Source organism: Homo sapiens, chromosome 6 (assembly GCF_000001405.40).
Source record: "Homo sapiens chromosome 6, GRCh38.p14 Primary Assembly".
Taxonomy (NCBI): Eukaryota; Metazoa; Chordata; class Mammalia; order Primates; family Hominidae; genus Homo; species Homo sapiens.
Genome location: NC_000006.12, coordinates 151,543,030 through 151,560,741, shown reverse-complemented (window position 1 = coordinate 151,560,741; position 17,712 = coordinate 151,543,030). Strand labels below are relative to the sequence as shown.

Genomic DNA, 17,712 nt, shown 5'->3' with positions numbered 1-17,712 from the left:
CTACAACAGTAAGAAGAAAAAGAAAAGAACTACATGATGATAAAGGGCTCAATTCAACAAGATTTAGCTATCCTCCTAAATATATATGCACACAGATTCAGAGCACCCAGATTTATAAAATACTACTATTAATAGATATAAGAAAAGAGATAGCCATACAATAATCATGGGAAACTTTGACACCACATTGACAGCAATAGGCAGATCATTAAGTCAGAAAACTAACAAAGAAGGTCTGGACTTAAACCGGACTTTCAACAAGATGGACCTCACAGACATCTATAGAATACTGCACCCCACAACCACAGAATGTACATTTTTCTCATCTGCAAATAGAACATTCTCTAAAATTGAACACATGCCTCAGTCATAAAGCAAGTCTCAATAAATTTAAAAAGAAACTAAATCATATCAAGCATCTTCTCTGACCACAGTGGAATAAAATTAGAAATCAACACCAAGAAAAACTCCCAAAACCACACAAGCACATGGAAACTAAACAACCTGCTTCTTAATGACTTTTGAGTAAACAATGAGATTAAAGCAGGATTTAAAAATTCATTGAATGGAATTAAAATAAAGATACAACATATCAAAACCTCTGGGATACAGCAAAAGTAGTGTTAAGAGGAAAATATAGTGCTAAATGTGAAAATATATTGCTAAATGCATACATCAAAAACATAGAAAGATCTCAAATTAACAACCTAACATCACACCTAATGGAACTACAAAAACAAGAACAAACTCAACCCAAGGCCAATAGAAGAAATAACTAAGATCAGAACAGAACTAAATAAAATTCAGAGCCAAAAAAATATAAAAGGATGAGCAACATAAAAAGTTTCTTTTTTGAAAGGATAAACCAAATTGACAGACCACTAGCCAAGTTAACTAAGAAAAAAAGAAGAACCAAAGAAGCACAATCAGAAATGACAAAGGTGACATTACAACTGATACCACAGAAATACAAAAGATCCTCAGAGATGACTATGAACATTTCTATGTATCCGAAAATCCTAGCCAGAGAAATCAGACAAGAGAAAGAAATAAATGACATCCAAATTGGAAAAGAGAAAGTTAAATTGTCCCTCTTTGCAGACAACATGATCTTATATTTAGGAAAGCCAAAAGACACCAAAAAAACTCTTAAAGCTTATAAATAAATTCAGTAAAGTAGCAGAATACAAAATAAACATACAAAAATCAGTAGTGTTTCTATACACTAACAATGAACTACCTGAAAAAGAAATCAAGAAGGTAATCCCATTTGCAATACCAACAAAAACATAAAATAATTTATAAATTTAACCAAGGAAGGGAAAGACTTCTACAAGGAAAACTACAAAACACTGATGAAAGAAATTAAAGAGGACACAAACAAATGAAAAGACATCTCATGCTCATGGATCAGAATAATTAATGTTGTTGGCTGGGCACAGTGGCTTATGCCTGTAATCTCAGCACTTTGGGAGGTCAGGGCAGGTGGATCACTTGAGGCCAGGAGTTCAAGACCAGCCTGGCCAACATGGCAAAATCCTATCTCTACTAAAAATACAAAAATTAGCCGGGCATGGTGGCATGTGCCTGTTGTCCCAGCTACTCAGGAAGCTGGGCACGAGAATCATTTGAACCTGGGAGGTGGAAGTTGCAGTGAGCCAAGATCACACCACTGCACTCCAGCCTGGGAGACAGAGCAAGATTCTGTCTCGAAAAAAAAAAAAAAAAAGATAAATTAATGTTGTTAAATGACCACATTACCCAAAGCAGTCTACAGATTAACTGTAATCCCTGTCGAAACATTAATATTATTTTTCATAGAAATGGAAAAAAATCATAAAATTTCTATTGATCCACAAAAGACCTTAAGTAGCCAAAGCAATCCTGAGCAAAAAGAACAAAGCTGAAGGCATCATACTAACTGACTTCAAAATATACTTCAAGGCTATAATAAACAAAACAGCAGGGTATTGGTATGAAATAGACACACAGACTAAATGGAACAGAATAAAGAAACCAGAAATAAATCCACATAATTATAGCCATCTGATTTTCAACAATGGTGCCAAGCATATACATTGCGGTAAAAGAGAGCCTCTTCAATAAATGGTGTTGGGAAAACTAGACATCCATATGCAGAAGAATGAAACTAGGTCACTATCTTTCTCATCATACACAAAAATCAATTCAAGATGGATTAATGACTTAAACCTAAAACTATAAAACTACTAGAATAAAATGTAGAAGAAACACTTCAAGACATTGGCTAGGAAAATATTTTAGGGCTAAGATCTCAACAGCACAGGCAACAAAAACAAAAGTAGGCAAATGGGACTATATTAAACTAAAAAGCCTCTACACAGCACAAGGAACAATCAACAGGGTGAAGAAACAACCTGCTGAATGGGAGAAAATATTTGCAAACTATTTATCCAACAAGGGACTAATATCCAGAATACATACAGGAACTCAAGCAAGTCAACATTAAAAAAAAAAAAAAAAAAAAAAACACTAATCTCAATAAAAAGTGGGTGAGGACATGAATAGACATGAATAGAACATGAATAGACATGAATAGGACATGAATAGAAGTTCACGAAAGACATACAAATGGCCAAAGGTTTATTTATTTATTTATTTATTTAAGATAGAGTCTCGATCTGTCACCAGGTTGGAGTGCAGTGGCGCAATCTCGGCTCAGTGCAACCTCACCTCCCAAGCTCAAGCGATTCTCCTGCCTCAGCCTCCCGAGTAGCTGGGATTACAAGTGTGTATCACCACGTCCAGCTGATTTTTTGTGTTTTCAGCAGAGATGGAGTTTGGCCATGTTGGCCAGGCTGGTCTCAAACTCCTGACCTCAGGTGATCCACTCACCTTGGCCTCCCAAAGTGCTGGGATTTGTCCCAAAAGGTTAAGTTTTTAAAATGCTCAACATCACTGATCATCAGGGAAATGCAGATCAAAACCACAATGAGGTATCATCTAACCCCAGTTAGAATGGCTATTATTAAAAAGACAAAAACAAATAAACAAACATAACAGATGCTCGCAAGGATACAGAGAAGAGATAACTTTTGTTAACACTGTTGGTGGGAATGTAAATTTGTATGGCCACTATGGAACACAGTATGGAGATTTCTTAAAAAAACTAAAAATGTAAATACCACACATCCAGCAATCCCACTACTGAGTATTTATCCAAAGGAAAGGACATGAGCATAACAAAGAGATTCCTGCACACTCATGTTTACTGCAGCACTAGTCACAATAGCAAATATACGGAATCAACCGAAGTGTCCACCAACGGATGAATGGATTTTTTTTTTTTTTTTTGAGACAGAATCTCGCTCTGTCACCCAAGCTGCAGTGCAGTGGCGTGATCTCGGCTCACTGCAACCTCCGCCTCCTGGGTTCATGCCATTCTCCTGCCTCAGCCTCCTGAGTAGCTGGGACTACAGGCGTGCACCACCACACCCGGCTAACTTTTTGTATTTTTTAGTAGAGACGGGGTTCCACCGTGTTAGCCAGGATGGTCTCGGTCTCCTTACGTCATGATCCACCCGCCTTGGCCTCCCAAAGTGCTGGGATTACAGGTGTGAGCCTCTGCGCCAGGCCTGAATAGATTTTTTTAATGTGGTATATATACACAATGGAATACTATTAAACCATTAAAAAATGAAATCATGTAATTTGCAGGAACATGGATGGAATGAGAGGTCATTATGTTGAGTGAAATAAGTCAGGCCTAGAAAGACAAATATCACATGTTCTCACTCATATGCAGGAACTAAAAGAGTTGACTCATATAGTTAGAGAGTAGAAAAATAGATTCCAGAGGCTGGGAAGGGTAAGTGGGTGGGAGGAGGGATGAAGAGAGATTGGTTAATGGATACAAGCATACAGTAGATAGAAGAAATAAGCTTTAATGTTTGTCAGCGAGTAGGGTGACTATAGTTAACAATGTATTGTATATTTTGAAATAGCTAGAAGAGAGGGCTTGAAATGTTCCCAACACACAGAAATGATAAATAGTTGAGGTGATGAAGACCTTAAATACCTTGACTTCATCCTTACACATTCTATGCGTGTAATAAAATAGCACACGTACCCGTTAAATACATACAAGTATCGTGTAGCAATAATAAATAAAAAAAGTAGGAGGCATGAAATTCTTCATATTTCATAGCAGAAAGTCTTTGCCAAATACTGCCTCAAATTGATGAATCAGGAATAAAATTGTATTACTTTAAAGTTTTAGTTTTTTGTTTGTTTGTTTGATTTTGTTTTGAGACAGGGTCTCGCTTTGTCGCCCAGGCTAGAGTGCAGTGGCTCAATCTCAGCTCACTGCAAACTCCACCTCCCAGGTTCAAGTGACTGTCATGCCTCAGCCTCCCAATAGCTGGGATTACAGGCATGCACTACCATGCCCAGCTAATTTTTGTGCTTTTGGTAGAGATGGGGTTTCACCATGTTGACCAGGCTGGTCTTGAACTTCTGCCCTCAAGTGATCTGCCTGCCTCAGCCTCCCAAAATGCTGGGATTACAGGCGTGAGCCACCACAGCTGGCCACTTTAAAGTCTTAATGGTAATTTTCAAAAGAACTAAAAAAGAGAATAAGTCATTTTGTAGGAGTCTTATAAACAGCTTTTCTTTTTATTATAGAGATGGAGATCTCACTATGTTGCCCAGGTTGGCCTTGAACTCCTGGCCTCAAGTGATCTGCCAGCCTCAGCCTCCCAAAGTGTTGACATTACAGGCATACGCCACCATCCCCAATCCAGCTTTAATTTTGTATAATATGGGCAGATATTATTTGGTGTTTGTTTTCATTTTAATTCCTCACCCACAGACTAGAACTCCCCCAGCCTCACAGGCAATAAGAAGGAGGGTTCAAGTAAGAAAAGTTTGAAAGATCTAAGGCTGTTTAGCCAGAAGAAGAGACTTAGAAATCCATAATAAATGTCCTTAACCATTTGAAGGGTGGCCATAAGAAAACGGATTTTCATTTATTCAGTGAAATTTCACAAGTGAGTAACAGGATGAGGAGTTGAATTATAGAGACTCTAATCCTGACTTGCTACAATACGGAACTGTCAAACAGTTCACAAAGATGAGACGGACCTCCTTATACAGTAGTGAGTTCCCCATTTCTAGAAGAGTTAAAGGAAAGGTTGAACATTAGCTAGTCAGGGAAATTGTTTTAAAACATGATTCTTATTTCACATAGAGAGTTAGATGATCTAGATTCTAAATGGCCTGAAGGTCACTTCCAACTTTATGATTCTAGAATTGTAAAGAGGTCTGTCATTTCTTCAGTAGTCTATCTCATCTAGTCATTTCTTACTTCCAGGAACTATTTCCATATGACTATAAATTAATCTCATGTTTATCTTATCCCCAGGTAAAAGTAAATAACTAGGAAAAGGAAATGAAAACACTGAACACCAATTGTGTGCCAGACACGTCCTAAGTATTTTATGTATATTTTACCATTTAATTCTAACGTAATAGTAAGAGAGCCTTATTTTCCCATTTTACAGATTTTAAAAACTGAGGTCCAGGCTGGGCACGGTGGCTCACATCTGTAATCCCAGCACTTTGGGAGGCCGAGGCAGGTGGACCACGAGGTCAGGAGTTCGAGACCAGCCTGGCCAACATAGTGAATTGAAACCCCATCTCTACTAACAATACAAAAATTAGCTGGGCGTGGTAGTAGGTGCCTGTAGTCCCAGCTACTCGGGAGGCTGAGGCAGGAGAATCATTTGAACCCAGGAGGCAGAGGTTACAGTGAGCCGAGGTCACACCACTGCACTCCAGCCTGGGCAATAGAGCGAGACTCTGTCTCACAAAAAAAAAAAAAAAAAAAAAACTGAGGTCCAAAAAGATCAAGCTACGTGCCTGCAATCACATAGCCGAATGATTCTGGAGCCAGGATAAAAACCCAAGCAGCCTAATTAAAGAGCCTAGCTTCTTAACCGCTCTGCGCAGTGTCTCTCTGTCTTGCTCTCTCTTTTTTTTGAGACAGAGTCCAGCTTTGTCGCCCAGACTGGAGTGCAGTGGTGCCATCTCAGCTCACTGCAACCTCTGCCTCCCAGGTTCAAGCGATTCTTCTACCTCAGCCTCCCGAGTAGCTGGGATTACAGGTGCCCACCACACGCTTGGCTAATTTTTGTATTTTTAGTAGAGATGGGGTTTTGCCGTGTTGGTCAGGCTGGTCTCAAACTCCTGACCTCAAGTTATCCGCTTGCCTTGGCCTCCCAAAGTGCTAGGATTACAAGCTTGAGCCACTGCACCTGGCCTGTGCAGTGTCTCTCTTACATACTCCACTGTAAGCTAACAAAAAAGGCAGAACTGACATCATTGCAAATCCAGGCCTGCCTGACTCTAACACCACTTTATTTCCTAGCTTTAATTCTTGCTAGTAGAATTAAATGCAACATGGAAGTTTAGTTTCTGATCTCATTGATTTTAACTTCTGTAATTCATAGGAAATGGGTGTGTGGCTTGCCCAGGCAAAATGACTACTTTCCTCAAATAGGTTATTCCTCAGTAGGTTATTTCAAGAAAACCAAGGGAAAAAGTACCAAGTACCAACTTTTGGTAGTTTTTAAGACATACTTCAATATGAACTACTAAAATATTTTTAAGTAATATATTTATCATATATATGACAAATCACTTGGATTTTTATTTGCGAAATTTTCTTGAAGGAACTGAAGTAGAGTCTTCAAGCAGATCAGAAAAGCTGAGTTATGTAGAAACCACACCCTAGTCCTGTGGCTACTTCTACTTCTGCAGTCCTTCTGGACCTCACTAATAAAGTAAGTTTCCTACCTCAAAAATAGAGCTTTAGAAAGCATTATGAAGACTCTTCCTGAGTCTGTTAATGTGTCAGTAAAACCACCTGATGGTATTTTTAAGTAGTAAATCTTCGGGAGGCACAATCCTATGAATAAAGTACTTTATTAAAGACCTCAAGTTTTTTTATTGCCCATATAATTTTTTTTTTTACAATTTTTATGATTTTGGCAGGAACTTCATCCCAAAGTGAATGTGTTTCCAAAGTCTGAACAACATTGCATCAGTCATTACAAGTGAAGACACTTATATAAGAAGAGGAATAAGTTCTGGTTTTTGAATGTGCTATTACAACACATTTCCTTACTCGTTTCCTACTACTGATCTCTAGAGATGCATTTTTATAAATAAATATTAAATTCTTCCTAATAGTCAAGTCTTTTTTAACCCCTCCTCTCCCCCTAATATTCAAATCTTGATAATTTAATAACTACTAGTTATAATTGAATTAAAATTACTCACTGAGGACATTTGTATGGCTATTTATTATTGTTGTTCCACTGACTAATAAATAGTTTCTGGCATCAGACTTGTATGTAGGATGTAACTGTGAATATATATGGAAAGAGGATTATTGCTGAAGGTACAATAATGTAATGATATGGGTTCAAATCCTAGCTTTGCCATTTAATAGCTGTGTGAACTTGAGCAAAGTGAATAACCTCTCTGATCATTAGCACAATGACTGGGCTAATGGTAAGTATTCAATAAATGAGCATTTATAAATCATCAATTTTGGTTTCTAAGCACCATTCACCAGTCTTAGGAACCAAAGCTCTTTAAAGAATTGGCTGGTAGGCCAGGCGCAGTGGCTCATGCCTGTAATCCCAGCACTTTGGGAGGCCGATGTGGGTGGATCACTTGAAGTCAGGAGTTCGAGACCAGCCTGGCCAACATGGTGAAACCTCTCTCTACTAAAAATACAAAAAATTAGCCAAGCATAGTGGCACGTGCCTGTAATCCCAGCTACTAGGGAGGCTGAGGCAGGAGAATCACTTGAACCTGGAAGGCAGAGGTTGCAGTGAGCTGAGATCATGCCACTGGACTCCAGCCTGGAGACAGAAAGACTCTGTCTCAAAAAAAAAAAAAAAAAAAAAAAAAAAAGAATTGGCTGATTTGGCTGGTTTTAGTTCAGTGGCCTGAATATTGCAAGAAAGCCTGTGATGACTTCTTCAGCCAGAGATCGAGGAAGACTTGAGAGACTAAAGGACTCATGCTACAAGGTCACAGGGTACATCCTGAAGGAGCTTCTGCCGGACAAATTTGGAGAATTTGGAGCACTGAAAGAGAATAATTGATTATAACACAGTAAATAAATAAAAACCCATGTGTCCATAGAATTGAAAACAAAAGGAAAGAAAATAAAGAAAGCTTTTCTTTAGAGAAGACTACTGCCTAATAGATGGGAGGAATGACGAAATTAGAATATCACCACTTTGCCACCCATGATGTAATAGTTAATCCAGACAAGAATCGGCGTATGCTAACATCACTAGGTAAAGTCAGAGGGAACAGGAATAACCTGATAATGATCACCCCATAGAAACTTAACTGCAGAAGAGAAAAAAATGTACCCTTACGCCAAAGAGATTCGTAGTCAAACTTATCGTCACCAGCAGTGGAACACTCTAACATTATTTGCCTTCTAATAGAATGCAATGTGAAATATAATACATAATATTCTTGCCAAAAGCCTTAACCTGAATCCAATCCAGCCTCTAGATCCAACTTTTAAGTTTACAGGATATAGAGAAACAAGTTAAACCACACAGTGAAGAAAAAATCAGGCCACTGCTCTGGACTCTCCAACATGTCAATGCTATTTAAAACAACAACAACCAAAAAAAAAAAAAAAAACCTGACACTAATCAACAAATGCAGTGAATTAACCTAGGTAGGTTCCAAATTTGGGGAAGAAAACTGCTGTAAAAGACATTCTTGTAGCAAGGGGTGAAATGTGAATGTGAAATGATACTAGATTATTATTAGCTAAGCCAAACTTGGTGGCTTAAAACAACAAACACTGATTATCTCACAGTTTCTATGGGTCAGGAATCTCAGCACGACTTTGCTGGTGGTGGTTCTGGCTCAGGGGCTCTCCTAAGGTTAGGGCCAACCTGTTGAGCAGGGCTGCAGTCCTCCCCAGGATTGACCAGGGGACGATTCCCTGCTGGGCTCACTCACATGGTAGCTGACAGGCCTCAGGTCCTTACCACGTGGGCCTCCCGAGAGGAGGCTAAGTGTCTTCACCACATGGTAGCTGACTTCCCTCTCCCTAGACCTACCTCACACCATGGCCCCTGGCTTCCCTCAAGAGCAAGTGACTCCAGAGAGATCAATAGAGTGTATTTAAGACAGAAGCCACAGCCTTTTTATAACCTAATATCAAAAGTGATATCCATCATTTCTGACATATTCTATTCACTAGAAGGGAATCACTAAGTCCAGACCGTGCTCAAGAGGAAGCATATAAAAAAATGTATGTGCTTGAAAACCACCACAGATGGTATCCGGCATTATAGTTAACTTTCAGATGCAGCAGTGGTATTGTGGTTACATAGGGCAATGTCCTTATTCTCAGGATAAATATGCTGACATAGTTAGAGGCAATACTTATGAAGTCTGCAACTTATTTTCAAGTGATTCTGCAAATATATCTATGTTTATGTAACAATAAATAAACAATAACAAATACATATTATGTAAAATAATAAAGCAAATAAAACAAAATGCTAACCATTGTTGCATCTGGGTGGATGGTGGGTGGGTGATCATTGTCATATTCCTTCACTCTTTCTATATATTTGAAATTTTTTAAAAGACAATGTTGGTGAAAAATAATGGTAAGTTATTAGGTTGATGCCATTAAAAGTAATTGCAAAAACCGCAATTACTTTTGCACCAACCTAATACTATGGACTGATTTGTATCTTCCCCAAAATTCATACTTTGAAGTCCTAACCCCCAATGTGATGGTATTTGTGGGTGGGGCCTTTGGGAGATGATTAGGTTCAGATGAAGTTTTGAGGGTGGGGACCTCACGATGGGATTAGTGCCCTTAGAAGGAAAGACATCATAGCACTTAGCTTGCTTGCTCTCTCTGTGACATGTGAGGACACAGGGAGAAGGCAGCCATCTACATGCAGGATGAGGGCCCTCACCAGAACCTGACCATGTTGGTTCTGATCTTGGATTTCCCGGCCTCCAGATTTGTGAGAAATACATTTATGTTGTTTAAACCACCCAGTCTATGGTACTGTATTATGGCAGCCCAAGCTGACAATGAGGGCATTGACAACAATAATAAACTTTGCACTTTCCACAGAGTTAATGTGTCAGGAGAATAAAGCTAGTGGTGCGAAGGGCCTTTTGATGCAGGGAATTAATTGAAAATAGAAATTATCATCATGACTGTGCTTTCCAACTTCCCTTCTCACCTCAGTGTGGCTGTCACTAGACAGAAAAGGCCCAAAAGAAATTCCTGAAAAGGCAACTCCTTCTCCTGCACCCACCAATTCCCCAGGCCCCTCCTCAGCCTGTGGGCCACCACTAGCCCTTCACCCACAAGGAGGCTCCCTTTATCAGCATCAGTCCTTAGCTGATCTTAAATTCCATCTGCTGGGCCACTGCCATTCACTTTTTTCCTATGTACTTTTATTAACTGATTGTATAAGCTCGTTTTTGCTTTTGGAAATGGATCATTATTATTAATCCCATAATAAATTTCTTTATCACAAAATTATAGTTAAGGGATTATACAATGTTAAAAAATACATATGGTATTAAATAGCTCAAATAGGTTGCAGACCATTTGAAAAGATCAGCCAATTCATTGTGTAAATAAAAGTTTACAATTCAGTCACTTCCCTTTGGCAATATCTGTCAGAATTACAAGGTCCATGTCCTTTGGCCCAGCGAGTCTACTTCTTGGATTTTGTCTTACTGATATATCCTCCCACATGAAGAATGATATAAGATTACTCATAATAGCTGTATTGACAATAATGTATAGTATATTGCCACTTGTGTTAAAAAATAAATAAAAAGAGAAACATATAGTGTGCAGAGTGTGTCAACATTTGTGTTAAAAAGAAATTAAAAGAATATGTATATATGTGTGTAAAATATTTCCAGAAGAGTATATAAGAAATCACTGGGGCAGGGCTCAATGGCTCATGCCTGTAATCCCAGCATTTTGGAAGTCCCAAGTGGGAGGATCACTTGAGGCCAGGAGTTTAGGACCAGCCTGGGCAACATAGTGAGACCCCGTCTCTACAAATAAATTTTTTAAAGAAAGAAATTGTTAACAGAAAGGTTGCCTCTGAAGAGAACTGGGTGGCTGGGGAGAGGGGTATGGGGAACATGTTTCACCATATACTCCTGTACATTTAGAATTTTGTTTCTTGTAAATATATTACCTATTTGTTCAAATATATTAAATTTAAACTTTTTAAGATCCTATAATTTAACTAAAGTAAGACATCTTCTCTACAAATTCTTTAATTTTAAGTGTTTTGTATTCCTTTTTTCCATTATTTAAAAAAATGTGGCCAGGCACAGTGGCTCACACCTGTAATTCCAGCACTTTGGGAGGTCAAGGTGGGCAGATCACTTGAGGCCAGGAGTCGAGACCAGCCTGGCTAACATGGTGAAACCCTGTCTCTATTAAACAAAAATTAGACCGGCCGTGGTGGCTCACGCCTGTAATTCTACCACTCTGGGAGGCTGAGGCGGGCAGATCACGAGGTCAGGAGATTGAGACCATCCTGACTAACACGGTGAAACCCCATCTCTACTAAAAATACAAAAAAACAAAATTAGCCGGGTGTGGTGGTGGGCCCCTGTAGTCCCAGCTACTCGGGAGGCTGAGGTGAGAGAATGGTGTGAACCAGGGTGGCGGAGCTTCAGCAAGCCAAGATAGCACCACTGCACTCCAGCATGGGTGACAGAGTGAGACTCCGTCCAAAACAAAAAAAACAAACAAACAAACAAAAAAACTAGCTGGGCATGGTGGTGGGTGCCTGTAGTCCCAGCTACTTGGGTGGCTGAGGCAGGAGAATTGCTTGAACCAGGGAGGCGGAAGTTGCAGTGAGTCAGGATCGTGCCACTGCACTCCAGTCTGGGTGACAGAGTGAGACTCCTTCTCAAAAATTAATTAATTAATTAAAATTTAAATTAAAAAATTTTTAAATGTACATATATAGCCAATGGCCTGTTCAAGTCACTTTGTCCCATGTCACCCCCAACCCTCCTGCTGAGTGCAGGCTCTTAAAATTGTGATCAATAAAAAAAATCGTAATCAGTAGTTCTAGGGCACTTATCTGACATCCATCTCTTCCATTTCTGCTTCTTCAACATGGTCCCAGATGCACACGTATACTTCACATATCATACCTGGTTCAGCTTCTCTTTCTCTTCAGTACAGGAGGCAGCTTTTTTCTGCTCTCTGTTGACTTCTGAAGCCAGCCTCATGATCGTTTCTCTGCTAGCTTTTGCTTCCATCTCATGGACATTTATAGTCTCTTCAAGAATAACAATTTGTCCTTTCACGAATTCATTTTCTTTGCGCAGGTCTCTAAGCTGAAGAGAAAGCAATTACAGCTGTCCTATAAAAATTAACAATTTCATCATTTTCTCTAAGCAAGTCACATCTATAGACTGCATTATCATATGAAAAATGTAAGAGCACTATCCCTACATGGACTGGAAAGGTCACATTTTCAAAGGCAGCCTGTAAACTCTGTTTTAGACCTGGGGGTCAAATTCAAATTATCCAAAAGGTGGCCACAAGGCAAGGATAATGAAGCCAAAAGTGTCCCGACGGAACACACATCAGCAAACCTGCTAAATACATCAGGTAAGGTGAAGCTCTACAGAGGCTACAGTAGGCGATGAAGCAAGGGACTTGCCTTCAGCCCATGTCCACTCAGACCTTCTGCAGTCAAGTCACCATGTGGCACTGGAGGAAATACAGAGAACACACGGCCATGCTTTTTAAAAAAATATTCTTCTATGTAATATAAGCATAGGAAAATTCTGAATAACAGCTCAGTGTTTATCATAGGGAATTGAGATTAGCAGGGCTTTTGCTCACTATGTTGTGCATTGGAATGGTTAACTGGGAGCATTTATAAGATTTACAAGGGGAAAATAAAAGCCAGCAGGCTCCTTGACCTCAGGGAACGAGCCATACAGACAATTTCACTCTGTAGGGCCAGGGGGAGGCCTGTAGGGTGACTTGAGACCCCTCAGGACAGGGCCAGCATTTGTGTTGAGACTCTCCGTGGAAGTGATATACCTTTGAGCCTCAATGCTCTGAAAACATGGTGCCCCACTCCCAACTCATGCTGTTCCCTCTCTCTCCAACACTCTTCCTCACATTTGCATGATCTCTCTCCTCAATGGCCCTCAAAACTCCCGACCTCACGGGGGCGCTCTTCAGACAGTGTCCAACACCTGTGACTTGCTTCCCTCTCTATCCCTGCATCCTGATTTGTTTTTCTGTATTGCACCTTTCACCATGTGGAGCAATCGTAGATATTTATTTGGTTATTTCTTCACTATCCTTACCCTTTGAAAATGAAATCTCTAGGCGAGCATAGACATAGTCTTGTCTCATTCACTGCTATCTCTCCAGCACTCAGAACAGTGTCTAGCATATAGTAAGCACTCACTAAATATTTGTGAAATGAAGGAATGAATGTCTAATTGTTAGGAATGCATGGTTCCTTGCGAATGCGTGTGCACACGTGTTTATGAGGGCGTGTGAAAGCGAAGGAACAGTTTTGAAACCAGAGCCATTTTGTTCTTGGAGGAACACCTAATGAGGCTGAAGTCTTGGTCAAGACAGCAGACTTCCTGATCTGGGCCAATTTTTTTTTTTTTTCTTCTTAAGACAGGCACCTGCTCACGTGGCCGAGATGCCAAAGCTCCAGATTCCTACCCTGTGTCGTGAAATATAGATTCCATTACTGTTCAGGTAAGCTGAGGCCAACAAATCCCAGGAGGAAATTGCCATCAAAAAGATGGTTTCTTATTCATTGTTCCCAAGTGGCAGGAACCCACCACACTACACAGGGCAATGGGGAAGCACCAGGGCCAGTCAGGAGGCAGAAGAAGTGGGGAGAAAAGCGGGCGAGAGGCTTTATTGTCGCCTCCACAGGAAGGAATAAGCAAAGCAGAGTAAGCAGACTTAGGGTTGGCTATTGAATGATTTCAGTGGCTCTTGGGGTGTAGGGGCTGACCCGAGCTGTCTGGGGGGCTTAGGGCAAGGGGCAGTAATCTGCAGGTAACAGCCAGTTGTAGGAGGTGGCTGGGGAGTGGGCTCTGGATTGGTCAGTTCACACGTGAAAGCTCTGCTGGGAAGGGCAGGCTCTCCCGGCTCAGCAAGACCCCGGAAGTCAAAGCATTAGAAATACAGAAAAGACAAGGACATGATAAATGTAGTAGAAACACCCTGATTAGCACCTGGAGATTGTGTCCGATAGAGAAAAGTGTGTCACGGAAGAAGCAGCTTCTGAATTCCCTTTTCTTGTCCCCATCATTTGGTTTGAAAGATAATTCTCAAACTACAAGTGGACTTTTACAGCTGAGTTCCTGGTCACAAGTTAGCCATAGGGAGGAGGAGAGGCATCCAGCACCCATGAGAGCATCAGGTGGACCCATGGTCCCAGCTATCAAAACCCATCCGTGAAGTGGAATACTTCCCAAAGTCGAATGAAGTCATCTTGCGGCTTTCAGAGAGGACATTTGGGAAGCTCACTAGTAGACACCTGAGAGGTGGTTTTCAAAAATGGCTGCATGATAGGCCAGACGTGATGGCTCACGCCTGTAATCCCAGCACTTTGGAAGGCCAAGGTGGGAGAACCGCTTGAGCCCAGGAGTTAGAGACTAGCCCGGGCAATATAGTGAGACCTCATCTCCATTTAAAAAAAAAAAATGATGCATGGGTGCTGGGCATGGTGGCCCACAACTGTACTCACAGCACTTCAGGAGGCAGAGGTGGGGTAATTGCTTGAGGCAAGGAGTTCAAGACCAGCCTGGACAACATAGGAAGACCTCATCTCTACATAAATAAAATAATTAGCCAGACATGGTGGTGCATGCCTGTAGTCTCAATTACTTAGGAGGCTGAGGCGGGAGGATCACTTGAGCCCAAGAAGTCAAGGCCACAGTAAACTAGGATCATATCACTGTACTCCAGCCTGGATGACAGAGCAAGATCTTGTCTCTAAATTTAAAACAAACAAACAAAAAAAAAAAACAACAACAAACGGCTGTATGGAAATCTGTCAGGAAGCAAGGATATGAAAGGTTTGTAAATAGCCAAAGAGAACCAAATACTTTCAGGTACCCTAATGAAGCACTATGGGCCAAGTGAATTATTCAGTTATTATTATTTATTTCTGACTTAATGGTAATCTACCATTAAAGTAGAATTTTTGCTATTTTGTTTTGTTTTGTTTATTTTTTGAGACAGAGTCTCACTCTGTGGCCCAGGTGGAGTGCAGTGGCTTGATCTCACTGCAACCTCCGCCTCCTGGTTCAAGTGATTCTCCTGTCTCAGCCTTCCAATTAGCTGGGATTACAGGCACCTGCCACCACGCCTGGCTAATTTTTGTATTTTAGTAGAGACGGGGTTTCTCCATGTTGGCCAGGCTGGTCTCAAACCCCTGACCTCAGGTGATCTGCCCGCCTGAGCCTCCCAAAGTGCTGGGATTACAGGCGTGAGTCACCGCGCCCAGCCACTATTTGGTTTTAATGTAAATTTTTAAAGTACTTTAGATCTCACACTCAATCAGTATCCTAAAAATGACATGCAGCTGCTTGTGTGAGTATATGTCTGGCTGTAACTAAAAGGAAAAAAACTCCCTAAAGCAAATGGTTACAATGAGTAATTAACTCTATATGACAACCTAAATATATTTTAGACAAAGCCATTAATCTCTTTTGGAGAATAATTAATTCCAATAATGCTAGAAAAGATCTTGGAATTGAGGCTCAGGCAGGTGACGTGACTTGTCCCAAGTCATACAGTTAATTAATACTACACTTGGTCTACTGTGCCATTCTCCTGCCACCCCCAAACTCAACCACAGCACTTCCTTTCATGCCACATGTCAGAATCACCACTACATTTATAGACTTTTTAATCTGCATACAGACACCTTTAAAATTAAATCTTCATCTGATGCCTTGTCATTCCTCTCATCTGGATCCAAGCAGTCACGCAGTTGAGTCAGAAATTCCTCATGTTTCCTGCAATTCTTTGAAACTTGTTTCTTATTCTCCTCATTTTCTTTTGAACACTTTCTGTTAGGCAAATAACAAATAAGTCAGAATTTAACACCATGGAAGATAACATTCATCAAACCAAGTCAGAATATAAGCTCTATGGGGGAAATAATTGTCATTTTCAACACAACACAGTTTCCCAGACACAGAGCAAATTATTGTCACAGAAGCCCTATAAAGCCCTATAAAGGAAGGAGAAAAGTGGCAGCAATTTTGGGACACCTGTGCTTTGCAGAAATATAAGGAAATCTTCAAGGCATTGTGGACTTAGTAACAGGAGGGGAAATGAATTCCCCTAGCCTCAACCCTTTAGGATCTCTAAAAATGGAGGCACGTGTCTAGAGCACACACAATCCACATAGCCATGGGTCTTCATTGGGGCCTCATGGGGAAGGAGAGTGCTACCACATTGGTTCTAGAGAACCAAGCTTCATTTTATTTTCAAACTTTACAATACAGTGATTTATAAGGGTCCTGGTTCATGGCCAGGCATAACTATAATATCAAATACATCAAAAGCACAGAAGGTTCTTGCCTCTGGAAAGGAGATGTGTTCAATCACCAGCAAAGTTCATTATTAGTTTTCACACTCCCTCAGTCTTTAAAGTGTATTGGAAGAAAGGAAAGAAAATCAGTATATCGAAGAGATGTCTGAACCCCCATGTTTACTGCAGTTCTATTCATAATAGCAAAGATAGGGAATCAACATAAGTGCCCATCAGTGAGTGAATGGGAAAAAAAATATGATATATACACATCGGAATACTACTCAGCCTTTTAAAAGAGTGAAATCCTGTCAGGAGTGGCAATATGGATGAACCTGGAGGATATTATGTTAAGCAAAATAAGTCAAGTACAGAAAGATAATTACCTCATGTTTTCACTCATATGTGGAAGCTACAAAAAATTGAACTCGTAGAAGCAGAGTAGAATTTTGATTATTAGAGGCTGGAAAGGGTAGCGGATGAAGGAGGATACAGGGAGGTGAGTCAATGGCTATAAACTTATAAAGATAGTTATAAAGTTATAAAGCTAGATGGCAGGGGTAAGTTCTAGTGTTCTGTAGCACAGTAGGGTGAATACAGTTAACAAGAATTTAGTTTCCAAATAGCTAGCAGAGAGGATTTTGAATGTTCACACACAAAAAAAGATAAATATTCAAGATGATGGATTTACTAATTTCCCTGATTTGATCATTATACATTGTATACATGTATCAAAATATCACTCCATATCCCATAAATATGTACAATTATTATAAGTCAACTAAAAATAAAAGGAAAAAAAGAGCATTAGGAAAGTACTAGAATTGGCCAGTCAAGGAAAAAGGAAATTTATGGTCCATTATGAATATATTGTTTCAAATCTCAGATAGGTTTGTTGAAATAGTATGGCCTATTTCTAATGCTTTAAATGTTAGCAACTAAGAGATTGTCAAAAATAGGCATACTTTAAAGGCAAATTAGAATCATTTCAGTAATTTAGTGTCATTTTTTAAATATCCAAGATAATAAACATGATTATTGCTTTTCCTTTTTACCATGTTGAGTGTTTACTGCA

General features: G+C 39.9%; 1 protein-coding gene across 4 annotated transcripts in view; it reads right to left on the bottom strand.

Moving 5' to 3' along the window:
• Positions 1-17,712, bottom strand: part of CCDC170 (coiled-coil domain containing 170) — a 127,177-nt gene that overhangs the window by 60,452 nt on the left and 49,013 nt on the right. For all 4 annotated transcript variants that reach the window (NM_025059.4, XM_047419372.1, XM_011536148.3 and 1 more), the window contains exons 4-5: positions 16,026-16,170; positions 12,253-12,438 (exon numbers count right to left, since the gene is read on the bottom strand). In NM_025059.4, coding sequence (NP_079335.2) covers positions 12,253-12,438; positions 16,026-16,170 — 331 coding nt within the window. The remainder of the gene's footprint in view (positions 1-12,252; positions 12,439-16,025; positions 16,171-17,712) is intronic.